Source organism: Homo sapiens, chromosome 8, assembly GCF_000001405.40.
Source record: "Homo sapiens chromosome 8, GRCh38.p14 Primary Assembly".
Classification (NCBI taxonomy): Eukaryota; Metazoa; Chordata; class Mammalia; order Primates; family Hominidae; genus Homo; species Homo sapiens.
Genome location: NC_000008.11, coordinates 48,796,966 through 48,820,882, shown reverse-complemented (window position 1 = coordinate 48,820,882; position 23,917 = coordinate 48,796,966). Strand labels below are relative to the sequence as shown.

Below are 23,917 nucleotides of genomic sequence, written 5' to 3'. Positions count from 1 at the left end.
AAACATTAATGATCATGGTAGAACACATAATAAACAACCAGGTGACTGGCCAGGAGCCACAGGGGAGAAAAGAAACCATTTTCATGACACTTTCAGTGTGGCTCAGCGACAAAAATGACACCTTGAGGTCCAGACCACGGTGCAAAGTGCAACTCAAGACTCCACATCTATCGGGGGCACAGCTTTTCAAAGGCTGCACTCTCCTCTTCCCGCTGTCTTTCTCTCGCCTTCTTTAATATTCCACAAAACTAATTATAATAATGACTTGGATCAAGTCATGCAAAACTTCATGATTCAAGTTCTACTTCCTGAATATAAACCCCTGCCTTGTGCAAGAAAAGAAGGAAATGGATACTCCTTCCCTTTGTTTAACTAATTCACCACCAATAAGTCAAGCAAAACCAAAACAGATTCAGTGTACAGAATATACTAAAAGGATACTGCCTCAAAAGTACAATCATCTTTAAGAGTATATTTTGAAGGAGATTGCCTCTGTTTTCATTTAAAATGCAAACTTGAATTCGAAAGAAAGGCCTAAGATAGAGAAGCACTGCCTAGAGTCCTGGGGAAGAAGCCATCCCAGGACTGGCACTAATCCGTTAGTGCTCCTCCCTGCCAGGCCCCTGTGCTGCTCTCCACCTTGGCTGAGCCCTGGGGCTGTGTCCTCATGCCACGCCCTGCAGTGCCTGCACGTCCTCTGTGCCTATGCTCAGAGCTCCCTGGATGTCTCTGGTTGCTAGTTGCTATTTCTGACATCCCCAACTCCAGCCTCTGCTACTCACCAAGGTCTCAGAGTTCCTCTGAAAACTGCCTACCTTCTGCTCTGGCCTGGAGTTTCCTCCAGTCCTTTCAGCAGCGAGGCCTGATGCTGGAGTCCAGCTCTGCCCAACTCTGTGACAGGCCTCGGTTTCCACATGTGTGAAACTGGACTAACACAAACTCACTGGACCTTGTGGGATTAAATACGTTGTACGGAAAACACCAAGAACAGAGACTTTTGGTAAATGTTCATTCCCTTTTTTCCTATGCCCCTTTCTGGCCCTTTCTTCTCCCAGAGTCCAGGGCCAGCTTTCCTGCCTTCCTAGCTCCATAGCTCCTCTCTCCAGGGTACAAAGCCCTCCAGTCACAATCAGGCGAGCAGAGGGGCTGGGGAAGCCCCTGAGGGCCAGCGCACTAACGCACAGGTGACAAGTGGGGTCTGGACCAAGATCCTGGCCTGACCTGGGCCCAGCCTCCCAGCTGCCGGCCTTTGTTGCCTCCCTCTGTGCAGAAGATTCTGCACCTGGAAAGTGCCTCCACTAACACCAGTGCCTCCTCTCTCCCAGAGTTAGCATCGAAATGGAAGAATAACACGAATTGGGACGCACACTGCAGGTGGCAGGCACTGTACAAATGCAGGAATATTCCTTAGACTGGCTCTTCCCCACACAGTAAGAAAAGCGGCTCTTATGCTGAGGCGGAAAGCAACACTCAGGACTGGGTGGCTCCGGGGCCCGAGCCCAGCCCTCCCCGAGTGAGCAGAGCACATACCAATAACAACCCCCTCTTCCCAGATGCACCCCTGCAGACATCCCAGCGGCAGGCTGCCTGGACAGATTTGAGAACCAAGCAGGGGGTGGTGACTGCCCGGCTCAGCAGCAGGTTCCCAGAGCTTGGATCACCTCCAGGAATCTGGCTCTGACCAGGTGATCTTTCCACCTTATCATAGCATGTTTATCTCTGCCACTATAATCTCATTAAATGCTAAATGAAGCATTTCATTCCACTCAAAACGCCTCAGTAAGGGAAGCCGAGCTTCATTGTATCCCTAACAACTGGGCTGCTATAATTCTTTGGAATAATTTGGTCCTCTTTGGTTCCCTTTGGCACTTTGAGATCACACAACGAAAGAGTCCAAAGCTGTTCATTTAAAAGTGAATATTGTTCCAGCCATCCCAAGCCATTTCCTTTAAAAACAGATCAATAACCTGAAAGAACAGGTTGCACCTTGGCACCTCTGGCCTCTGTGTGCTCCAAACAGCACGTGCAGCCACAGGGGTCAGAAGGGCTCCCGCCTGCCCATCCCCCACCCCGCATCCCCTGGCTGGTGTCCTGCCCACCTGCCCCGTGTCCCCTCAACCCACCACCCCGTTTGGTGCCCTGCTCCCTGCCCCACAGCCACCCACCCCAACCTGCACCCCCCACACCCAGGTGGGTGCCCCCCCACTATCACACATCCCTTGATCTCCTCCATCTGCCCTGCCACCTGCTGGGTCTGTGACCCCTTCCTGTTGCACAGCCCACCTGTCAGTTCCTGACTGCCCCTTCTGTTCTCTCCTCTCCCACTAGGTCATGGCCAGGATCGCTTTCAGGGCTGACTCATCCGCCTCACTGTCTGGCAGTCGCCCCCTGGCCAGGCTCCACTGGGAAGCAGCTTCCACCCACACTCTCTGGACGTCCTGGCAGGTCCTGCTCTGTGGCCCACTCCTGAGCTGCCCTGGCTGGGCTGCCTGACAGGGTGATTTGGTGCTGCTAAGAGAATCCGCCACCTGCTTCAGGCTTGAGCTTCTCAGTCAGCTGTTCACTCCATCTGCTTAGAAACCCGGAGTCTGTTCCCCCTACAATTCTCTCCCTTTGTCACAGTGTCTAATCTCCAACGTCAGAGTCATGGCTCAGGCCCAAATGCAAAACTACTGGATATTTGATGTCCTCTGAAAACAAGAGTATGTAAATGTTGTAGAGTGTTGGGCACCAACCTGCCTGTGCACACCGTGGTCCTCAGAGCTCCCAGAGTGGGGTCTAGGCCTTCCTGTGTTCACTGAGAAGCTGCCCACGAGAAACTCGGATGGTGAGGCTGGTGAGGAAGAAGCTGGCTTGATGCTCTATAGAGAAAGAAAAAGAAGGGGGAAAAGAAGAAAGAAGCCCTGCTGGGCAGAGGTGTAAGGAGCAAAGATGAGTGAGGAGAGAGACAGGAAAAGGATTAAATACAGGGGCTAGGATTATTTTAAAATAAAATACATACATTTCAGGGGATTGCCCCCGTTTCCAATTTAGAGCAAAAAAAATGTATGAAAACATTGAATTTACTGACATAATACTAAGCACTATTTCCATACTCTAATTTTTTAAAAACCATGTAATCAGAGGCTATACTCTTTGGCATCTTTGATAAAGAGTAAACACATGGCTTTATCTTTTTTTTTTTTTTTTTGAGACAGAGTCTCGCTCTGTCACCCAGGAGTGCAGTGGCTCTAACTCGGCTCAGGCTCACTGCAAGTTCCGCCTCCCGGGTTCACGCCATTCTCCTGCCTCAGCCTCCCAAGAAGCTGGGACTACAGGCACCGGCCACCATGCCCGGCTAATTTTTTGTATTTTTAGTAGAGACGGGGTTTCACCGTGTTAGCCAGGATGGTCTCGATCTCCTGACCTCATGATCCACCCGCCTTGGCCTCCCAAAGTGCTGGGATTACAGGCGTAAGCCTCCGTGTCCGGTCCTTTTTTGAGACGGAGTCTCGCTCTGATGCCCAGGCTGGAGTGCAGTGGCATGATCTCGGCTCACTGCAACCTCTGCCTCCCAGGTTCAAGTGATTCTCCTGCCTCAGGCTCCTGAGTAGCTGGGATTACAGGTGCCCACCACCACACCCAGTTCATTTTTGTATTTTTAGTAGAGACAGGGTTTTACCATGTTAGCCAGGCTGGTCTCAAACTCCTAACCTCAGGTGATCCGCCCACCTCGGCCTCCCAAAGTGCTGGGATTACAGCATGAGCCACCATGCCCCGCCATGGCTTTATCTTAAAGGCGAGCTTCCCCATGGCTCACATGCAAGACACAGAGGATTTGCTGTGGTCCCCAAATGTGTGTCTGGGCGCTTCCAGGTGCCCCCAGCAGTAGTGACAGACACAGGGCCGTTACAGTGCAGGCACAGCTGAGGAAAGCATGGCTTCTCCCTTACATGCTGAGTGGACAAATGCCTCTCCAGAATCACAGCACCTGCCAACAACAGTGGTCACATTAGCACCCAGCCCAGAGTCACCCTTTGACTTACTTTAATGGGCTTGCAGAAGCCCAGGGTAATCAATCTCAAGAACAGAGAGAACATGACTGGTTTTCCTCACACCCAGGCAGCAGGCCCGACCCTCGCCCGGTGTGTGAATGTGTCACTGTGTGCAGGCCGCACGCCCCGAACAGCCGGAGGTGGTTGTGTTGCCGCTGCTGTGAGTGAGCAGTCGGCTTTCAGCTGGAGGAGAGAAGGCTCCGGAATGTGTGCAATAGCACAACAGCTGGAAAAGTCATTGAAATATAATACCAGTCCCCAAATAGTCATATTTTATTGTTTGAGACTTATAAACGGTTAAAGAAATGAAATCCACCTTTGGGAAATGATGTTTCTTTAGGTCTCATCATATCCCATTTTCCCCTAAAGGTTAAAACAAATAGTGCTATGCTGATAAATCGTGCTAGTCAGGGCTGAGCAGCCCTGAAGCTCTCCTCTCCAGGCTGTCGGAGCCCACAAGCTCTCCCAGCTCTTGGAAGGGCTCTCTGTAACTTGTCTTTGGAAAGGAAGCAACAGCAAAGAAGGGGGAAGCAACGCAGCTCATGAGAACGCAGTGGCCACCCGTGTTGTGACCATCGCAGCTCCTCTCCTGCTGGCCAGAGCCATGCTGTCTGGACACACCCAGGTGGCCTCCTCTTGGGGAGGTCACTGCCCTGTTGGAGAACAGACTGAGAACTCTGAAGCCTTCATGAATCATGGTGGTCTCCCAGCTCTTAGTCTACCCGACAATCCTCCGTCATTGCAGAAGTATATAACTGATCTTATTACAAATAAATTATTCCATTCCTTCTTTTGTGTATTCATTCAACAAATATTTGTCACATTCCTATCACATGCCATGCACTTTGCCAGGTATGGGCACAAACCCAGTGAACAAAATGACAGGGGCCTGGTCTCTTGTAATCAAGCAGAAGGGAAAACATCACTTTTTTTATTTTATTTACTTATTTTTTGAGACAAATTCTTGCTCTGACGCCCAGGCTGGAGCGCAGTGGCACGATCTCGGCTCACTGCAACCTCCACCTCCCAGGTTCAAGCAATTCTCCTGCCTCAGCCTCCTGAGTAGCTGGGATTACAGGCACGTGCCACCACGTGGGCCCAGCTGATTTTTGTATTTTTAGTAGAGACAGGGTTTCACCATGTTGGTCAGGCTGGTCTCTAACTCCTGGCCTCAAGTGATCCATCCACCTCAGCCTCCCAAAGTGCTGGGATTACGGGTGTGAGCCACCGTACCCGGCAACATAACTTTTTTAATGACCCAGAGATTTATTTATTTACACCTGTGATGAGTGTTTTGAGGAAAATAAGGGTGTTGTGAAAGTGTAAACCACAGGTTCCTCACTTGGCTTGGAGGTCTGGGGATGGCTTCCCTGAACAATGACATTTAAACTGAGACTAGAAGGGGAGGAGGAGGTGTTGACCAGGCCAGGAGGGGGTGGGGTGGGAAGTAAGAAAGCATTCCAGATAGAGAAGCATTGTGCAGACTTAGACTCTGTCTTCATGTAAAGACAGAGACAAGCACAAAAAAAGACCAGCATCACTATCAGGGCCACCAGGCACCACTGGGCAGGGTCCCTGCACAGATGACATAGTCCACACTGGGAACAGAGTCCTGCACAGCCTCACCCTGCAGAATGGAGTGCAGGAAGAGTGAAATGAACATGAAGGCAAGGACTATTGTGCAGGGCCTCCGTGCCCATTCAGAGTGTGTTCAGCTGCAAGGAAGAGAACACCAAGGAAGGGTGGCTTAATCCAATATGAATTTCTTTCTCACACAAAATCATCTAGGTTTGGGCTGCTCCAACAATGCCATCAAAATATCACTCTTTCTGTTTTCTCTTCTCTGCTATCATGAATATATTGACCTTTTTTTCTATGGTATGAAGAGGATTTCTGCACCCCCAGGCACTTCCTCATTCCAGCAAGTAAAAGGGCAAAGGGAACTGGGGAGAGGGTTATGGGCCATGCAGCCAATCTGCTCTTTTTTTCCTCAGGAAACCACAGGTTTTCTGGAAGCAGTATCTACGGACAGTGTCTAAGGAGAAGAACTTCCAAATGGGCTGAGTTGACCAATCAACAGTGCCTGCCACAACACCATTCCATGTTAGAAATCTAGGGTTACAAAATGTGAAGATCTCAAACCATTGCTCACTAATTCAACTCTCAGCATCACATTTCTCATAAATGTACAAGGTTCTTGGAGATGATCAGCATGACTGCGGCCCCTGTATTCTACCTCCACTCTGGTTAGTTGTATTTTTCTTAAGTCGCACAAGAAGGGACTAACTTTCCTTCACCTTTGTACCCCCAGCTTCGAACACTCAGTACATAAGCATCATTCACGGAACAAATTATGCATCAGCTGCCAATAAGTGCCAGGTTCTAGGTGTAGGGTGTTTACTTTGACTCACTCATTGAGGAACTGTCTCAGGGAGGCATATCACTCTCCATAAACATGTCAAACTTACTCAACTCTTTCAAACTAGCAGCTGACTGGTTACAATTCCTCTATGGAAGTGGTATACTGCATTCTTCGTCATTCCCTTAGACTGGGGTTAAAGGAAAAAATAAACCCACATTTCTGCCAAAGCTCACAATCTCATTTTTGTTAGTCTTATGGACTTGTCATAGTTATTTTTCTTCTTTTACACAAATAGCAAAATTGAAATTGGTTCAAGATGGACATGTATCATTAGGCATCATAAGAAACCACATTCCCTAATAAAAACAGGGGATATCAGATCCTCACCTCCCCTACTTGCTCCTGGCCCCTTGATGGATCTGATGAATTTCTCCCAAATGCAGACAAATCTCAATTTCCACCTGTGAACATTCACAGAAAAGTGATGGACAGCTTGACATGGCTGCAAGCCATAGCCTACACAAGAGTGAGTGAAACTGGCTGAGTAGGAAGCATATTTTCTCTTTTTAATAGTCTATAAAATGGAAGTATTTTATGTCTTGAGAAAATATGAAATTATACCAGAGTAATGCAGTAGGAAGTTAGTCTCTGAACTGTTTGACCAATACACTTTACCATTCCCCAGGTGATTTTTCTGTTTCCAATAAGATAGCAATTAAATACACAGTTACGCTGAAAAGATCAAGAATATGCAAGCTATACCTAAAATGAAAATTACAAATCTAAAAGCTAGAATAAAATCAGGTAAAAGCACAGATGAATTAGGTCAAAATGCCGAAACATCAAGGTCAGTAATATCAACAAAGGAAACATATGAAATAAGATTTTTTACTGACATTAGTTGCTATGGTACAAATAGGTAAAAAAAAAATTATTTTAAATCTCACAGTGGTAGCAATAGTAATAACAATCATGACTGTTGTGTGTCCCCTTCCATCATCATGGCAAGCCTACTATGCATTCCAGCAGCCACTGTTTGAAACTCACAGAGTCAGATGACTTGCAGTAAGTTACACAGTTGGTTGATGGGGAGGCAGTTCTTGAAAATGGTTCTTTCCATTACAACACTCATGCTAGACTACATTTCAAAAGAAGAAATATTTTCTTCAACTTTGCTTCTCCTCATATTTCAATAATTGATAATAAAATAATAAATTGAAAATTATAACAAGCCTACAATAATAAAATTTGATTGTTTTTAATGAAAATTAGAATGTCCTTGTCATTGTACAGCACATCATACTTATGAAACCATCCTGATTCAACCTTACCATGAAGAGACAATCTGTTGCAGGAATCCAATCCATTGTAGCTGATACAAATTAATAATTACAAAGTCTAGAAAGATGAGTTATTTGATAAGAAACCTTAAGGAACACAAACATTTGTTAGAAGGAAAAATTGTGTGTGTGTGTGTGTGTGTGTGTGTGTGTTGCTAGATGAGTTTGTAGGGGATGAGCTGATTTAACTTCACATAAATATGACCTAAATAGGTCTTTTTCTAGCCAGACTCTGTAAGTACACTAGTTCTGCAATCTCTTTCCATTTACCCCTCACCTAATAATACTATTCCACATGATTTGAGTAAAGGGGAATATCTGTTTTTTGAAGTTCCTCTTTTTAAAAGCCAGTCTTTCCATTGTCAGGGCCAGCAGTCCATTTTGCCCAGGTAATACAGACCTGGTGTGGTCTCAACCCTGAATCCTAGTTGCAATCTATGGAACTCAAAGGATTCTCCACTCGTGTGCATGTGTGTATATGCAAACACACACACACAATTTCAACAGGACTGAAGTAGAAGTATCTTATGTAAATATTTGGAACTGAAGAAATGCTAGTCTGAAAACACTTTCTAAAGATGTAAAATTAGAGCTAAAAATTATATCTGAAACATACTAAATACATAAAGATAATTGGGAGGCCAGGTGCAGCAGCTCACACCAGTAATCCCAGCACCTCGGGAGGCTGAGATGGACGGATCACTTGAGCCCAAGAGTTCGAGACCAGCCTGGCAAACATGGAGAAACCCTGTCTCTATAGTAAAAAAAAAATAGTAAATAAATAAATAAAATCAAAAGAAAATAAATAAAACAAAAATAAAGATAATTGGGACAACTGTCATATCTAACTCCCTAGCCATATATAGGAGAAAATAATGGTTTCAGTTCTCTTCAACAAGAAAAAATAGTGTAACCTTCAGCAATATAGAGGTGAAATTGAAAACAAATGGCAAAATATATTTCGTTACTTGTATTCAATATTCAACATTGTCTCTATCTAATGATCAGAACAACAATGTAAATTGCTGAACAATTTACAAAGCACGTTCTCATGTACATCCCATTTGATAACATCTGCACAACACAAAGCCTGGGCACAGACGGACAACTGTTGCCATCCCCATTCCACACTGGACAATCTGAGGCTCAGGGAAGTGAAGTGACTCACCCTAAGACCTGCAGAGCTGCGTATTCAGTCCCCTTTCTGTTACATCACACAACATTAAACCAGAAATATACCTTTCTATGAAATTAAAAAGCTTCAGCCATTACATTTCCTGCTTCTCTAACATAGAAAGGAGAATGTATTCCATCTCATACAATCAAAGACAATGGAAGAGTTGAAATAATATGACTCAATTAAGCTCCAGACATTTGCCTTAAGGAATCATGTTTTGAAAGATTTTACTACTGATGAGAATAAGGAATGCTAAAATGTTTAAAGCAAAGACAGACCCATTCACTAACCAAAAGCTCAAACCAAATTGATTCTATCCAACAGTTCAGCTTCATTATATTCCAACTGACAAATGCCTTTCACTTGCATGATGCTCCATAGCCTGAATTAAAGCTATAATTTTTATTTTAGGTCTCTTCAACTTTAGCTGATGTCTGGATTTTATCCCAAATTGAATGCACTCTCTCTAAGGTTTTAAATACACATTTGCCTCCAATTTCTTTCTCTTTTGCCTCCCTTTCTTCCTCCACCTTCTTCTTTTCTCTTCTCTTTTCCACATACCACATTAGCTTCAGGCCAGTAAAATGTTTAAAAGTCAGGTTCCCAGGGAATGCCTTAGGGAGGAATCTACTCCAGCACAGTAACCCAAAAGTGCACCCACGCACCTCGTTAATCCACAAAGCCCCAAAACACTGGATAGATTCCTCGGGCCATAGCTACACCTAGGATCTGAAACGTTTTCCCTCTACCACCAAACAACATCTACGGGAATCACAGGCTTTCCCATCCTATTAAGGAATGAACTCATGTAGACAGATTCATTAGACTCACTGACAAACACCAGAGTAACTCTTGAGAAATACCAACTAAGTGTATTTAATAAAAAGTAGTTATGATGATAATGATGATGAATTCTCAGCACTGTGGCCAGATACTCTGCCAAGCACTTTTCATGTATTTGTATATTTAATTTTGGCAACAACCTCATGAGATTAGTACTATCATTACCCATTTTAACAGATTAAAAAAACTGAAGTTCTGAAAAATAAGTGACTTGCCCAAGCTTATCTTCAAAGTAGTAATGCTAGGATTCACATTCAGTAAATAGAAGAATATTTAAAGAGGCTGGGCGCAGTAGCTCACACCTGTAATCCCAGCACTTTGGGAGGCTGAGGTGGGCAGATCACCTGAGGTCAGGAGTTTGAGACCAGCCTGACCAACATGGTGAAACCCAGTTTCTACTGAAAATAAAAAAAAATAGCCAGGCATAGTGGTGTGTGCCTGTAATCTCAGCTACTCAGGAGGCTGAGGCAGGAGAATCACTTAAACCTGGGAGGCAGAGGTTACAGTGAGCCAAGATCGCACTATTGCACTCCAGCCTGGGCAACAAGAGTGAAACTCTGTCTTCAAAAATGAAGAAGCAGCAGAAGAAGTAGAAAAAGCAGAAGAAGCAGAAGTGGGAGCGGGAGCAGGAGCAGAAGCGGAAGAAGGAGAAGGAGAAGGAGAAGGAAATGGAAGAGATTTAGAGAAAGGAGAGCAATAAGAAGTGGGAAGAAAAAACAACCCATAGTGGAGGGAAGGTGGTTACTAGTCATAACAATTCAGAGGTTATAAATTCAAACCCTTATTCTACAAAATATTAGCAAATCCTCTGAGATTCCAATTCTTTATCTTTCAAGTGAACAGAATAATATTATCTCAAGGGTATTGGTCTTTAGTTTTCTTTGTTGGTACTGCCTGCGTCTGTTTTTGGTATTAGGGTCATTCGTACTAGCTTCATAAAGTGAACTTGGAAGTGTTCATTCCTTCTCTAAGGTATTCCCTTGGAACCTGTCATTAATTCTTTTTTTTTTTTTTGGTAGAATTTTGGTAGAATTCTCAAGCTATCTAGATGGGCCGGGAGATTTCTTTTTTGAGAGATATTATATCTGCAAATTGAATTTCCTGAATAGTCACAGGACTAGTCAAGTATCTATTTCATGTCTACTGAGTTGTGATAGTTCGTGCTCTTCAAGGAATTGTTACATATTATTGAAATTGTCAAATGTATGTGTATTGAGTTGTTTGGCGTATTCCTTTATTATCCTTTTGATGACTACAGGGTCTGAAGTAATAGTCTCTATTTCATTCTCAGGAATTTGTGTCTTCTTTTTTCTTTGTCAGTCTTGCTAAGGATTTATCAATTTTACAATATTTTCAAAGAACCAGCTTTTTGTGTACTTGGTTTTTTTGGTTTTTCTGTTTTAATTTTTATTAATTTCTGCTGTTACCTCTCTTATATTCCTCCTTCTTGCTTTGAGTTTATTTTGCTCTTCTTTTTCTAGATCATTGAGATGGGATCTTAGGTTGTTAATTTAACACCTTTCCGTATCTAATGTAAGCATCTAGTGGTATGAATTTTCCTCTCACCACTGCTTTAGCTGTGTTCAAAAATGTTTGATACGTTGTACTTTCATTTTTCCTCAGTTCAATGTGTTTTTTACTTTCTCTTAGACTTTTTTGGTCTATGAATTATTAAAAAGCATGTTGTTTAGTTTTCTAGTGTCTAGATATTTCCATTATCATTCTGTTGTTTGTTTCTATTTTGATTCCATTGTGGTTATAAAATATTCTGTATCATTTCAGCATTTTTGTAATTACTTAGACTCTTCCTTCTCCACCAAAATATTTTGACAAATGCTCCATGGGTGCTTGAGAAAAAAAAAAATGAGTGTTCTGCTGTTGCTCCGTAAGTGTTGATTAGACCCTGTTTTTCTTGTTGTTGTTGTTTGTTTGTTTTTCTGAGACGGCGTTTTGCTCTTGTTGCCCAGGCTGGAGTGCAATGGCACGATCTCAGCTCACCACAACCTTTGCCTCCCAGGTTCAAGTGATTTTCCTGCCTTAGCCTCCCTAGTAGCTGGGATTATAGGTGCGTGCCACCAGGACAGGCTAATTATTATTATTGTTGTTATTATTATTATTATTATTATTGTATTTTTAGTAGAGATGGGGTTTTGCCATGTTGGCCAGGCTGGTCTCGAACTCCTGACCTCAGGTGATCCACCCTGCCTCAGCCTCTCAAAGTGCTGGGATTACAGGCGTGAGCCACCATGCCAAGCATATGAGAGCCTATTTTGAATTGTTCTATATCATTGCTGATTTTCTATCTAGTTGAGAAAGGGACGGTGAAATCTCAAACTGTAATCGTGGATTTGCCTGTTTCTCCCTTTGGTTCTATCAATTTTTGCTTCACAGTTTTTATGTCTCTGTTGTTTGGTGCATACACAATTAAGATTGACAGGTATTCATGGCAGATTGACTTTTTGTCATATTACAATAACCTTCTCTGCCTCTGATAATTTTCTTGCTTTTGAAGTCTGCTTTATCTAATAATAATATAACTTTTTCATTTCTTTTGATTGATATTTTCATGATGTATCCTTTCTATCATTTTATTTTTAACCTGCCTATATTGTTATATTTGAAGTGAGTTTTTGGTATACAATATATATTTAGGTCATATTTTATAATTTACTGGCCAATTTCAGCTTTTTAATTGATATGTTTAGATCAATTACCTATAATGCAGTTATTGTATGTTAAAACCTAAAGCTGACATTTAATTTTTTTTTCTGTGTGTTCTCATCTTTTGCTTGTCTATTTTTTTTTCTGCCTTTCTGGGGGTGACTTGAACATTTTTTAGAAATCAATTTTGATTTATCTATAGTGGTTTTGAGTATGTCTCTTTACATAGCTTTTTTAGTGGTTCTTTTTTGCATTACATTGTATGATATTACAACTTACTGCTGTCATCATATTACCAGTTTATTGATAAATAGAAACATTATTTCACTGTACTTCTATTTACTGTTCCTTATTACTGCCTTACATATTTCCTCCACATGAATTTAGAATTACATCAGACAATATTACATTTTTTGCTTCGAACATCAAACTAATTTAGAAAACTCAAGATAAAAGGAAACTACATAGTATTTGTTAATGTTTTCCCCTCACTCTGCTCTTGTCTTCCTTTCTCGTATCCCAAGATTTCTTCTTGTATCATTCCCTTTCTACTTAGAGAACTTTCTAGAGCCATTCTTTTAGGATAGGTCTGTTGGTAACATATTCTCCCAGTTTTACTTCCTCTGAATATGTCTTGATTTCCCCATCATTCTTGAAGGAAAGTTTTGGTGGATATAGAATTTGTGGGCAACATTTATTTTTTGTGATGTGCCAAATACAATCACAATCAAACCCCAGCGAGTTATTTTGTGGATATCAACAAACTGATTCTATAGTTTATATGGAGAGGCAAAAGACCCTGAATAGCCAACTCAACGTTAAAGGAGAAGAACAAATTTAGAGGACTACCACAATTCGACTTCAAGACTTCAGTCAAGCTACAGTCATCAAGATGGTGTGGTATTAGTGAAGGAATAGACAAATGGATAAATGGAACAGAAGAGAAAGCCCAGAAATAGACTCACATAAATAGTCACCTGATCTTAGACAAAGGAGCAAAGGCAATACAGTGGAGCAAAGATAGTCCTTTAACAAGTTGTGCTGATTAACTGGACAATCACACACACAAAAAATAATAATAAATCTAGACACAGACCTTATACTCATCACAAAAATTAGCTCAAAATAGAGCATAGGCCTAAATGCAAAACATAAAACTATGAGATTTCTAGAAGATAACAGAAAAAAAAACAGGTAACTTTCACTCTGGCAGTGACTTTTTAGATACGACACCAAAGGTATGATCTACAAAAGAGACAATGATAAGCTCTACTTCATTAAATTTAAAACTTCTGCTCTATTAAAGACTGTCAAGAGAATGAGAACACAGTCCACACACTTCGAGAAAATATTTGCAAACACACACCTAGTAAAGAACTGTTATCCAAAATATACAAAGAAACTTAAAATTCAACAATAATAAGATGAATAACCTGATTTTTAAGTGGGCAAAAAACTGATATGACACCTCACCAAAGAAGATATAGAGATTATAAGTAAGCATGTGAAAAGATGTTCAACAGTATATGTCATTAGGAAACTGCAATTCAAAACAGTGAGATACTGCTACTCACCTATTAGAATGCCCAAAGTCAGAACACTGGCAGCACCAAACGCTGGTGAGGATGTGGAGCAACAGGAACTCTCATTCATTTCTGGCAGGAATTCAAAATGGTATGGCCACTGTGGAAGACAGAGCGGCGGTTTCAGACAAAACTAAATATATTCTTACCACATAAACCAGGAATAGGCCAGGTGTGGTGGCTCATGCCTGTAATCCCAGCATTTTGGGAGGCTGAGGTGGGTGGATCACCTGAGGTTGGGAGTTCAAGATCAGCCTAGCCAACACGGCAAAACCCTGTCTCTACTAAAAATACAAAAATTAGCCAGGCATGGTGGTGGGCGCATGTAATCTCAGCTACTCGGGAGGCTGAGTCACGAGAATCGCTTAAACCTGGGAGGTGGAGGCTGCAACGAGCCAAGATCACGCCACTGCACTCCAGCCTGGGTGACAGAGTGAGACTCCGTCTCAAAAATAAAAAAAATAACAATAAACGAGGACTAACCCTTTGATATTCACCCAAAGGAGTTAAAAAATACGTTAACACAAAAATCCTCACATGGATGTTTATAACAGTTTATTCATAATTGCCAAACCTGGAAACAACCAAGATGTCCTTCAGTAGGTGGATGGATGCATAAGCTGTGGTACAAACAATAAAATACCATTCCATGTTAAAAAGAAATGAGCTATCAAGCCATGAAAAGACGGAGGAAACTTAAATGCGGAACACTAAGTGAAATAAGACAATCTTGAAAGTCTACATACTGTATGATGCCAGCTATACGACATTCTGCAAAAGTTAAAACTGGAGCTAGCAAAAAAATCAGCAGTTGCCAGGGGTTAGGGGGAAGGGAGGAATAAATAGGTGAAGCACAGGGGATTTTAAAACAAAACTACTCTATATGACACTGTAATGACAGATCTATATCATCATACATTTGTCCAATATACAACACCGAGAGGGAACCCTAATGTAAACAATGGACTCCGGGTGATGATGATGTGTCAGTGGAGGTCCCTCAATTGTAACAGATGCTCCACTCTGGTGGGTGAGGCTGATAGTGGAGAAGGCTGTGCATGCCAGGAGACAGGGCATATATGGGAACTCTGTGCCTTCATCTCAATTCTCCTGTGAACCTGAAACTGCTGTGAAAAATTAAGACTATTAGAAACTCAGTTCAACTTATTTGTGTGGGTCTGCTGGTGCCTCTTGATTAGGGGAGGCGAGTCTCGGGTTGTGAGACACAGAGCCTGCTGGCTGTGGCCGGGACCCTCGGGTTGGTCATGCCAGCCCACTCCAGTGTGTCCTCATGGGGCAGGGAGTCTCAGGCTTGTCGGAACGAAGAGGCTTTCCTGGCCCGGGGCTTGTTGTAATGAAATCCTCCTATCGGTATTTCTGGGTGGAGAGGGAATGAAGGAGCTGCACTCCCTGGCCGGTCAAGGAAACCCTTGTTAGTGGTGCTGTGAGAGAGCCCCTCCCATTCCAGGGAGGAATGGGCCCATGTGGGCTGCCGTTTGCTGTAAAGCCCAGGGTCTGGGCTGCCTTCTGTTGATAAAGGAGCTGTAGACATCCTGCTGCCACTTTTTTCCCAAGCCGATTCACCTTTCTTTTACTACCTTCCACTGTTTTCCTTTGGTTACTTCCGCAGTTTATAGGTGAACTTAGTGGGGGAGAACAAAGATAAATGTGTTCACTGCATCCTGTCAGGACCGGAAGCGTATTTCTCCAAGCTTTGAGCACATAGCTGTACTGTACATGCAAAAGAAATTTGTTTTGCTGGATGGCTGGTACATTCTTTACAATGTGCTATTTGAAAAATATTCATACTCATTTCCTTCGTTATTGTAGACATGCATTGGGTTCTATGGGATTTTATTCACCTATGAAATTAAGTCCAAAGATGAGAGGAATGGGGAAAAAAAGTCACAGGTTTAAAGCAGTGCATTGGATTATTTTTCTGGTCCACAATTGCGTCCGACCCAACACTGCTTTACTAGACTGAGAGGCTGCCTTGTAGGGGAGGGTGGAGGGCTGGAGCTGCCTGAGGTGGAGTGGAGAAGACACACAAAACAGTGGTGGGGGCACAGGAGTTTCCCCAGCATAGCATCTACGAAGCCTCCAGGAATACACCCCAACCTGACACCGGGGCACACCTGCGTTGAAATCAGACAGGAATTGCCAGCTTGAAGACGGAAGTCACAAGAGAAGCCCTCAGCTTCAATGATAAAGATTACTTCAAGGCAGAGCAAAGATACTCATCATTTGTTTGGTCCTTCTTACTTTAAAATAACAGTAAAATCTAATCGAGCTTAATGAGCATTTTCTAAGTTTGTAATAAAATATGCTTATTCCTCCCATCTTCACATGTTATATATATTTAAATTAGCTTTATGTAACCTTTTTTAAAGCAAATTATTTTGAAGCACAAGACGAATAAACAAACATCCATACAATATGGATAGATGGCATACTGAGTCACCATAACATCATCACACCATGTTCACCGCCTGAGTCTAACCACTCCCAGGCCCCTGTAAACTGCCAGGCCTCCACCCTCCCTCTCCTCTGAAGGACCTTACTTGTGAGTGGTGAGGGTCACTCACCTGCTGGTATGAATAATTCTCATACATAAGTATGCATCTAAATATTACACTTCATTTTGCTTGCTTATGGACATTCTATAAATGAAATCCCACAAATTTGTTATTTTGTATCTGACTTTTTTTTTTAACTAAACACTATGCTATGTATTCATGTTGTCTTAATTGATCCTTTGCATTTAAGGAAAAGCATGCCCACAAATGGAAAGATGAGATGTGAGCAAGGATCCATGCAACAGAGTGACATAGCATGCAATATTCATGTTAAAGATGTGAAAACACCAAGGGAACAAAACTTGTAAACTTAAACAAATACCTGAATAAAAAAACAGCTTATGAATTGGCACTTAGAGAGTGCCTATGAGAGACAGACTTCTAATTTCTTCTAATTTATATAGTGACTTGATGGGACAGCATCATAAGCCACACTTTTTAGGGCAGAAGATAGAAACCTGGAAAAGCCTGGTCCCCCGCTCCAGGGCAGCGGTCATCTAGTCCAGGTGCACACTTCAAAGCCATGTTCTTACCCACTTAAACTATCATACGCTGTCCTCATAGAATCAAAGGGAACTGAAAAGATAGATCTCCTGCCAGAGGTCAGTGAGGGAAAGGCTGATGAATGATAAACAGAAACCAAAACTCAATTTTTATGTTAATTCAGTCTTCCCCATCAAACTAAATCATTTTGGACAGAACGGGCAAAACAAATATTGTTAAGAGGAAATTTAAGCCCAACAAGACCATAAGAAAAATGTGATTTGCTTCTAACTTTTCTCAATAGTAGTTTGAGCCTCTTGGCCAAAATAAATTATATACCCAAATAGATAAACTGTCTACACTTGTTGAACGAATGGGTGGCCAGGACCACTGCTCCACTGTGGGTCATCATGACTGCCTGTAGACAGGGGAGGAGACTAGAAAGATGACACCAAGAGCAGGAACGTGGGAAGTGAGTGTCCAGTTTGACTACAGACATGAAATCCTGCTGCAGAACTTAGGCAAGAATCCAAGGATGCTGTGCAAGTGCTTAGAAAGGAGACAGTGATCACTCAAGTCACCAGAGGTTTACAAAGAATAAGGAGCTATGCCAACAAGCCTGATTTCCTTTGTTGTCCAGCTGGCAAATCAGGGATACATGGCAAACAGGATTCCAAGAAGGCGTCTATCGGGGTCTCCTTCTGTCCTTTGGCATGTGGGTTGAAGAATGCAGGAGACAACGAGTGATAAATGTGATCAAGGGTACTGTGGAGGGCAGCTTCCAGTGTGAGTTCAGGCCTGTTTTCAGCTCAGGCTTGGCCACTCTTTTCCTTAACCATCTGGAGGAAGGAGTGGAAAGAAAACGTATTAAATTGCTGGGTGACCGGAAGCTGGGTAGGGAATGTAGCAGGCTGGATAGCAAGATGAGGACACCAAAACACCCCAAGTGTCTAGACTGGTGGGCTTCATTAAATCTTTAAATCTTAATAGAGATTTAAAATGCTTTACATTTGGTTAAAAGTTAAGAGAAAAAACAGAAAACAATGTTGCTAATATGTACATAGGGACACAAGGCCCAGCTTCAGCTCTTGGTAAAATATGTTAATGGTTGAATGGAAATTAAATATCAATCAATTTAGCCATGTACCTCCTCCTTGGATATTTCCAAGTCATATCCACTCATCAAGATTGATTCAAAAAGCCTTTTACATCATAAAACTTTTTGTGTCTTCCTGGCCAATGTGATCCTTCTGTCCTTTGTGTTATTAGGACATTTGTTACCATTTTCTTCCTAATACATTGTGGAAAACACCTTATGGGATCCCTAAAACCTCTGCCTGGTTTGAGGCCTTGACTCCCATTTTGAACATCTCTCAGTAAAGTAGCTGCTCAATAAATAGTTATTAAACGAAAGCTATTGTATGAGTGTAACAAAACAGTAGTGTGGTCTTGGGTCAAGTTGATATAAATGCAGTGTCTGGACATGGGCCAAGAGGGTGAATTGAGATTAGGGCACTTCCAAATGGAGGTAATTGGGGTTTGAGATCAGATGGGGGCAGAATTTGAAATCACTCCATAAGAGGAACAGTAGAAAGAACCAGAAGATAAGTTTGTTGGTGTTTTGGGTGTTTGATTTTAGCTGGAAAATAGAAGACTTGGGACAGAGAGAAGTGAGATATAACATGATCTTTATCTGAGCCATTTGAAGGACTTTCATGTGAAGGAGGGGTATTCTTTGCTCTGTTTTGATTAAGTGGGCAAACCAAAGGAAACCATATACACATAGAAACTTTCTAAAACTTTAGAATGGGTCAAGGATAGAATACGGTGTCTCAGTAAGTCATGAGTCCCATTTACTGGATGTTTTCAGAGTTGAAATACCATCTACAGATGGCATTATCTAGGCAATTGACTAGGATTTATTGTAGAACAAGAGCATATAACAGCCTATCATACAATCACCATCCTCCAACAGAGTGGCACATTTGTTACAAATCATGAACCTACAATGACACATCAGTATCCCCGAAGTCCATAGTTAGCCTTAAGGTTCACTCTTGAAATTGCATTCTATAGATGTTGACAAATGTCAAAAAAGTCTGTGTCTGGATTTATTGATTGCTTGATTGCCAGTAAATATCCAATTGTTCCAGCACCGTTTGTTCAAAAGATTATCATTGATTCATTGTGTTGCCTTTGCTCCTGTGTCAAAGTTGAGCTGACTATATTTATGTGGGTCTATTTCTGGGTTTTTCTATTCTGTTTCATTAATTTGTCCATTCTTTCCAATAATACCATGATATCTTGATATCTTGATTACTGAAGTTTTAAAGTAAGTCTCGAGGTCAGGTAGTGCCAGTCTTTCAATTTTGTTCTTCTTCAATATTGTGTTGGCTATTCTGGATCTTTTGCCTCTCCATATCAACTTAGAATCAGTTTGTCAATATCCACAAAATACTGGGATTTTGATTGTAGGATTTAAAAAGAAGTGACATCTTGCCAATATTGAGCCTTCCTATACATGAACATAAAATACTTCTCTATTTTTTATTTTTTTATTTCTTTTACCAGATTTTTCTAATTTTCCTCATAAGATGCTGTACATATTTTGTGAGATTTATACCTAACTATTTAATTTGTTGAGGTCCTAATATAAAGGATATTGAGTTCTTAATTTCAAATTCCAATCATTCATTCCCAGTATATAGAGAAACAATTAACATTTGGATCCTAACCTTGTATCCTGCAAACTTTCTATAATCGCTTATTAGTTCTAAAAGGGTTTTTGGTTGTCGATTCTTTGGGATTTTCTACATAGATGATCATGTCTTCTGTAAACAAAGATGGCTTTATTTCTTCTTTCTCCATCTATACATCTTTTATTTCCTTTTCTTGTCTTACTGCACTAGCTAGGACTTCTACTATGATGTTGAAAAGGAGTGGTGCCTGACAAACACTATTTCAACAGGTGACCAAGGTCAACATCTTTTTTTTTCTTTGAGACGGAGTCTTGCTCTGTTGCCCAAGTTGGAGAGCAGTGGTGTGATCCCAGCTCACTGCAACCTCCGTCTCCCAGGTTCAAGTGATTCTCATGCCTCAGCCCCCTGAATAGCTGGGATTACAGGCACAGGCTACCATACCCAGCTAATTTTTTGTATTTTTAGTAGAGACAGGGTTTCACCACATTGGCCAGGACGGTCTAGAACTCCTGACCTCAGGTGATCCACCCGCTTCAGGCTCCCAAAGTGCTGGGATTACAGGTGTGAGCCACCGCGCCCAGCTCAAGGCCAACATTTAAAGTGATATATCTTATTGATAGTATGTACCCTTGATATGATGTGATGAAAATGGCATTTTACCTCTGTGATCTTCGTCCCAAAACCCATAACGTCAGTCTAATCATGAGAAAAACATCAGACGGCATCTGCCAAAACAACTGTCCATTATTTCTCAAACCTGTAAATGTCACTAGAGAGAAGGGAGTTTGAGAAATAGTCAATCAAAAGCAGCCCAAGAAGACATGCTCACTAAAGGTAGAGTGTACCTAGTGTACCCTTGTAGACAGGATCCTGGAACAGAAAAGGGGCAGTAGGTAAAAGCCCAAGAAACCTGGATATAGTATGGACTTGTGTTACATAATTTATCAATATTGTGATAAATCATAATTTATCAATATTGTGATAAATCATAATTTATCATTAATTTGTGACAAATAAACCACAGCTACATAAGATGCTAACAGTAAAAGAAATTCTATATGGGAGCGGGAGAGGCATATGGGAAGTCTCTGTGCTATCTGCTTAATTTCTTCATTAATCCAAAGGTGTTGTAAAAAAATAAAGTGAATTAATAAGAAAGGTGGGATCTCTGAAGTAATAGAACTGCTCAGCATGGGGGGAGGAGCCAAGATGGCCGAATAGGAACAGCTCCAGTCTACAGCTCCCAGCATGAGCGATGCAGAAGACGAGTGATTTCTGCATTTCCATCTGAGGTACCGGGTTCATCTCACTACGGAGTGCCAGACTGGGCGCAGGTCAGTGGGTGCGTGCACCGTGCACGAGCCGAAGCAGGGCGAGGCATTGCCTCACTTGGGAAGCGCAAGGGGTCAGGGAGTTCCCTTTCTGAGTCAAAGAAAGGGGTGACAGACGCACCTGGAAAATCGGGTCACTCCCACCCGAATATTGCGCTTTTCGGACTGGCTTAAAAAACGGCGCACCACGAGATTATATCCCGTACCTGGCTCGGAGGGTCCCACGCCCACGGAGTCTCACTGATTGCTAGCACAGCAGTCTGAGATCAAACTGCAAGGCAGCAGTGAGGCTGGGGGAGGGGCGCCTGCCATTGCCCAGGCTTGCTTAGGTAAACAAAGCAGCCGGGAAGCTCGAACTGGGTGGAGCCCACCACAGCTCACGGAGGTCTGCCTGCCTCTGTAGGCTCCACCTCTGGGGGCAGGGCACAGACAAACAAAAAGACAGCAGTAACCTCTGCAGACTTAAATGTCCCTGTCTGACAGCTTTGAAGAGAGCAGTGGTTCTCCCAGCATGCAGCTGGAGATCTGAGAACGCACAGACTGCCTCCTCAAGTGGGTCCCTGACCCCTGCCCACCGAGCAGCCTAACTGGGAGGCACCCCCCAGCAGGGGCACACTGACACCTCACACGGCAGGGTATTCCAACAGACCTGCAGCTGAGGGTCCTGTCTGTTAGAAGGAAAACTAACAAACAGAAAGGACATCCACACCAAAAACGCATCTGTACATCACCATCATCAAAGACCAAAAGTAGATAAAACCACAAAGATGGGGAAAAAACAGAACAGAAAAACTGGAAACTCTAAAACGCAGAGCGCCTCTCCTCCTCCAAAGGAACGCAGTTCCTCACCAGCAACGGAACAAAGCTGGATGGAGAATGACTTTGACGAGCTGAGAGAAGAAGGCTTCAGACGATCAAATTACTCTGAGCTACGGGAGGACATTCAAACCGAAGGCAAAGAAGTTGAAAACTTTGAAAAAAATTTAGAAGAATGTATAACTAGAATAACCAATACAGAGAAGTGCTTTAAGGAGCTGATGGAGCTGAAAACCAAGGCTCGAGAACAACGTGAAGAATGCAGAAGCCTCAGGAGCCGATGCGATCAACTGGAACAAAGGGTATCAGTAATGGAAGATGAAATAAATGAAATGAAGCGAGAAGGGAAGTTTAGAGAAAAAAGAATAAAAAGAAATGAGCAAAGCCTCCAAGAAATATGGGACTACGTGAAAAGACCAAATCTACGTCTGATTGGTGTACCTGAAAGTGATGGGGAGAATGGAACCAAGTTGGAAAACATGCTGCAGGATATTATCCAGGAGAACTTCCCCAATCTAGCAAGGCAGGCCAACGTTCAGATTCAGGAAATACAGAGAACGCCACAAAGATACTCCTCGAGAAGAGCAACTCCAAGACACATAATTTTCAGATTCACCAAAGTTGAAATGAAGGAAAAAATGTTAAGGGCAGCCAGAGAGAAAGGTCGGGTTACCCTCAAAGGGAAGCCCATCAGACTAACAGCAGATCTCTCGGCAGAAACCCTACAAGCCAGAAGAGAGTGGGGGCCAATATTCAACATTCTTAAAGAAAAGAATTTTCAACCCAGAATTTCATATCCAGCCAAACTAAGCTTCATAAGTGAAGGAGAAATAAAATCCTTTACAGACAAGCAAATGCTGACAGATTTTGTCACCACCATGCCTGCCCTAAAAGAGCTCCGAAGGAAGCGCTAAACATGGAAAGGAACAACCGGTACCAGCTGCTGCAAAATCATGCCAAAATGTAAAGACCATCGAGACTAGGAAGAAACTGCATCAACTAACGAGCAAAATCACCAGCTAACATCATAATGACAGGATCAAATTCACACATAACAGTATTAACTTTAAATGTAAATGGACTAAATGCTCCAATTAAAAGACACAGACTGGCAAACTGGATAAAGAGTCAAGACCCATCAGTGTGCTGTATTCAGGAAACCCATCTCACGTGCAGAGACACACATAGGCTCAAAATAAAAGGATGGAGGAAGATCTACCAAGCAAATGGAAAACAAAAAAAGGCAGGGGTTGCAATCCTAGTCTCTGAAAAAACAGACTTTAAACCAACAAATATCAAAAGAGACAAAGAAGGCCATTACATAATGGTAAAGGGATCAATTCAACAAGAAGAGCTAACTATCCTAAATATATATGCACCCAATACAGGAGCACCCAGATTCATAAAGCAAGTCCTGAGTGACCTACAAAGAGACTTAGACTCCCACACATTAATAATGGAAGACTTTAACACCCCACTGTCAACATTAGACAGATCAACGAGACAGAAAGTCAACAAGGATACCGAGGAATTGAACTCAGCTCTGCACCAAGCGGACCTAATAGACATCTACAGAACTCTCCACCCCAAATCAACAGAATATACATTTTTTTCAGCACCACACCTATTCCAAAATTGACCACATAGTTGGAAGTAAAGCTCTCCTCAGCAAATGTAAAAGAACAGAGATTATAACAAACTATCTCTCAGACCACAGTGCAATCAAACTAGAACTCAGGATTAAGAATCTCACTCAAAACCGCTCAATTACATAGAAACTGAACAACCTGCTCCTGAATGAATACTGGATACATAACGAAATGAAGGCAGAAATAAAGATGTTCTTTGAAACCAATGAGAACAAAGACACAACATACCAGAATCTCTGGGACGCATTCAAAGCAGTGTGTAGAGGGAAATTTATAGTACTAAATGCCCACAAGAGAAAGCAGGAAAGATCCAAAATTGACACCCTAACACCACAATTAAAAGAACTAGAAAAGCAAGAGCAA

The 23,917-nt window shown here is 42.3% G+C and overlaps 1 long non-coding RNA gene across 2 annotated transcripts in view, besides 2 other annotated features; it reads right to left on the bottom strand.

Moving 5' to 3' along the window:
* LOC105375825 (uncharacterized) overlaps positions 1-23,917 on the bottom strand; it is a 47,970-nt gene that overhangs the window by 7,695 nt on the left and 16,358 nt on the right. For both annotated transcript variants that reach the window (XR_001745894.2, XR_928859.3), the window contains 2 exons: positions 13,992-14,100; positions 2,736-2,903 (listed from right to left, as the gene is read on the bottom strand). This is a non-coding gene — a long non-coding RNA (uncharacterized LOC105375825). The remainder of the gene's footprint in view (positions 1-2,735; positions 2,904-13,991; positions 14,101-23,917) is intronic.
* Positions 894-1,865: an enhancer, noted in NCBI's record as "H3K4me1 hESC enhancer chr8:49731577-49732548 (GRCh37/hg19 assembly coordinates)". NCBI's record gives its function as "activates a minimal SCP1, AML or CMV promoter by ChIP-STARR-seq in primed H9 embryonic stem cells {active_cell/tissue: H9 hESC(primed)}" and the evidence as "EXISTENCE:reporter gene assay evidence [ECO:0000049][PMID:30033119]".
* Positions 21,265-21,827: an enhancer, noted in NCBI's record as "NANOG-H3K4me1 hESC enhancer chr8:49711615-49712177 (GRCh37/hg19 assembly coordinates)". NCBI's record gives its function as "activates a minimal SCP1, AML or CMV promoter by ChIP-STARR-seq in naive H9 embryonic stem cells {active_cell/tissue: H9 hESC(naive)}" and the evidence as "EXISTENCE:reporter gene assay evidence [ECO:0000049][PMID:30033119]".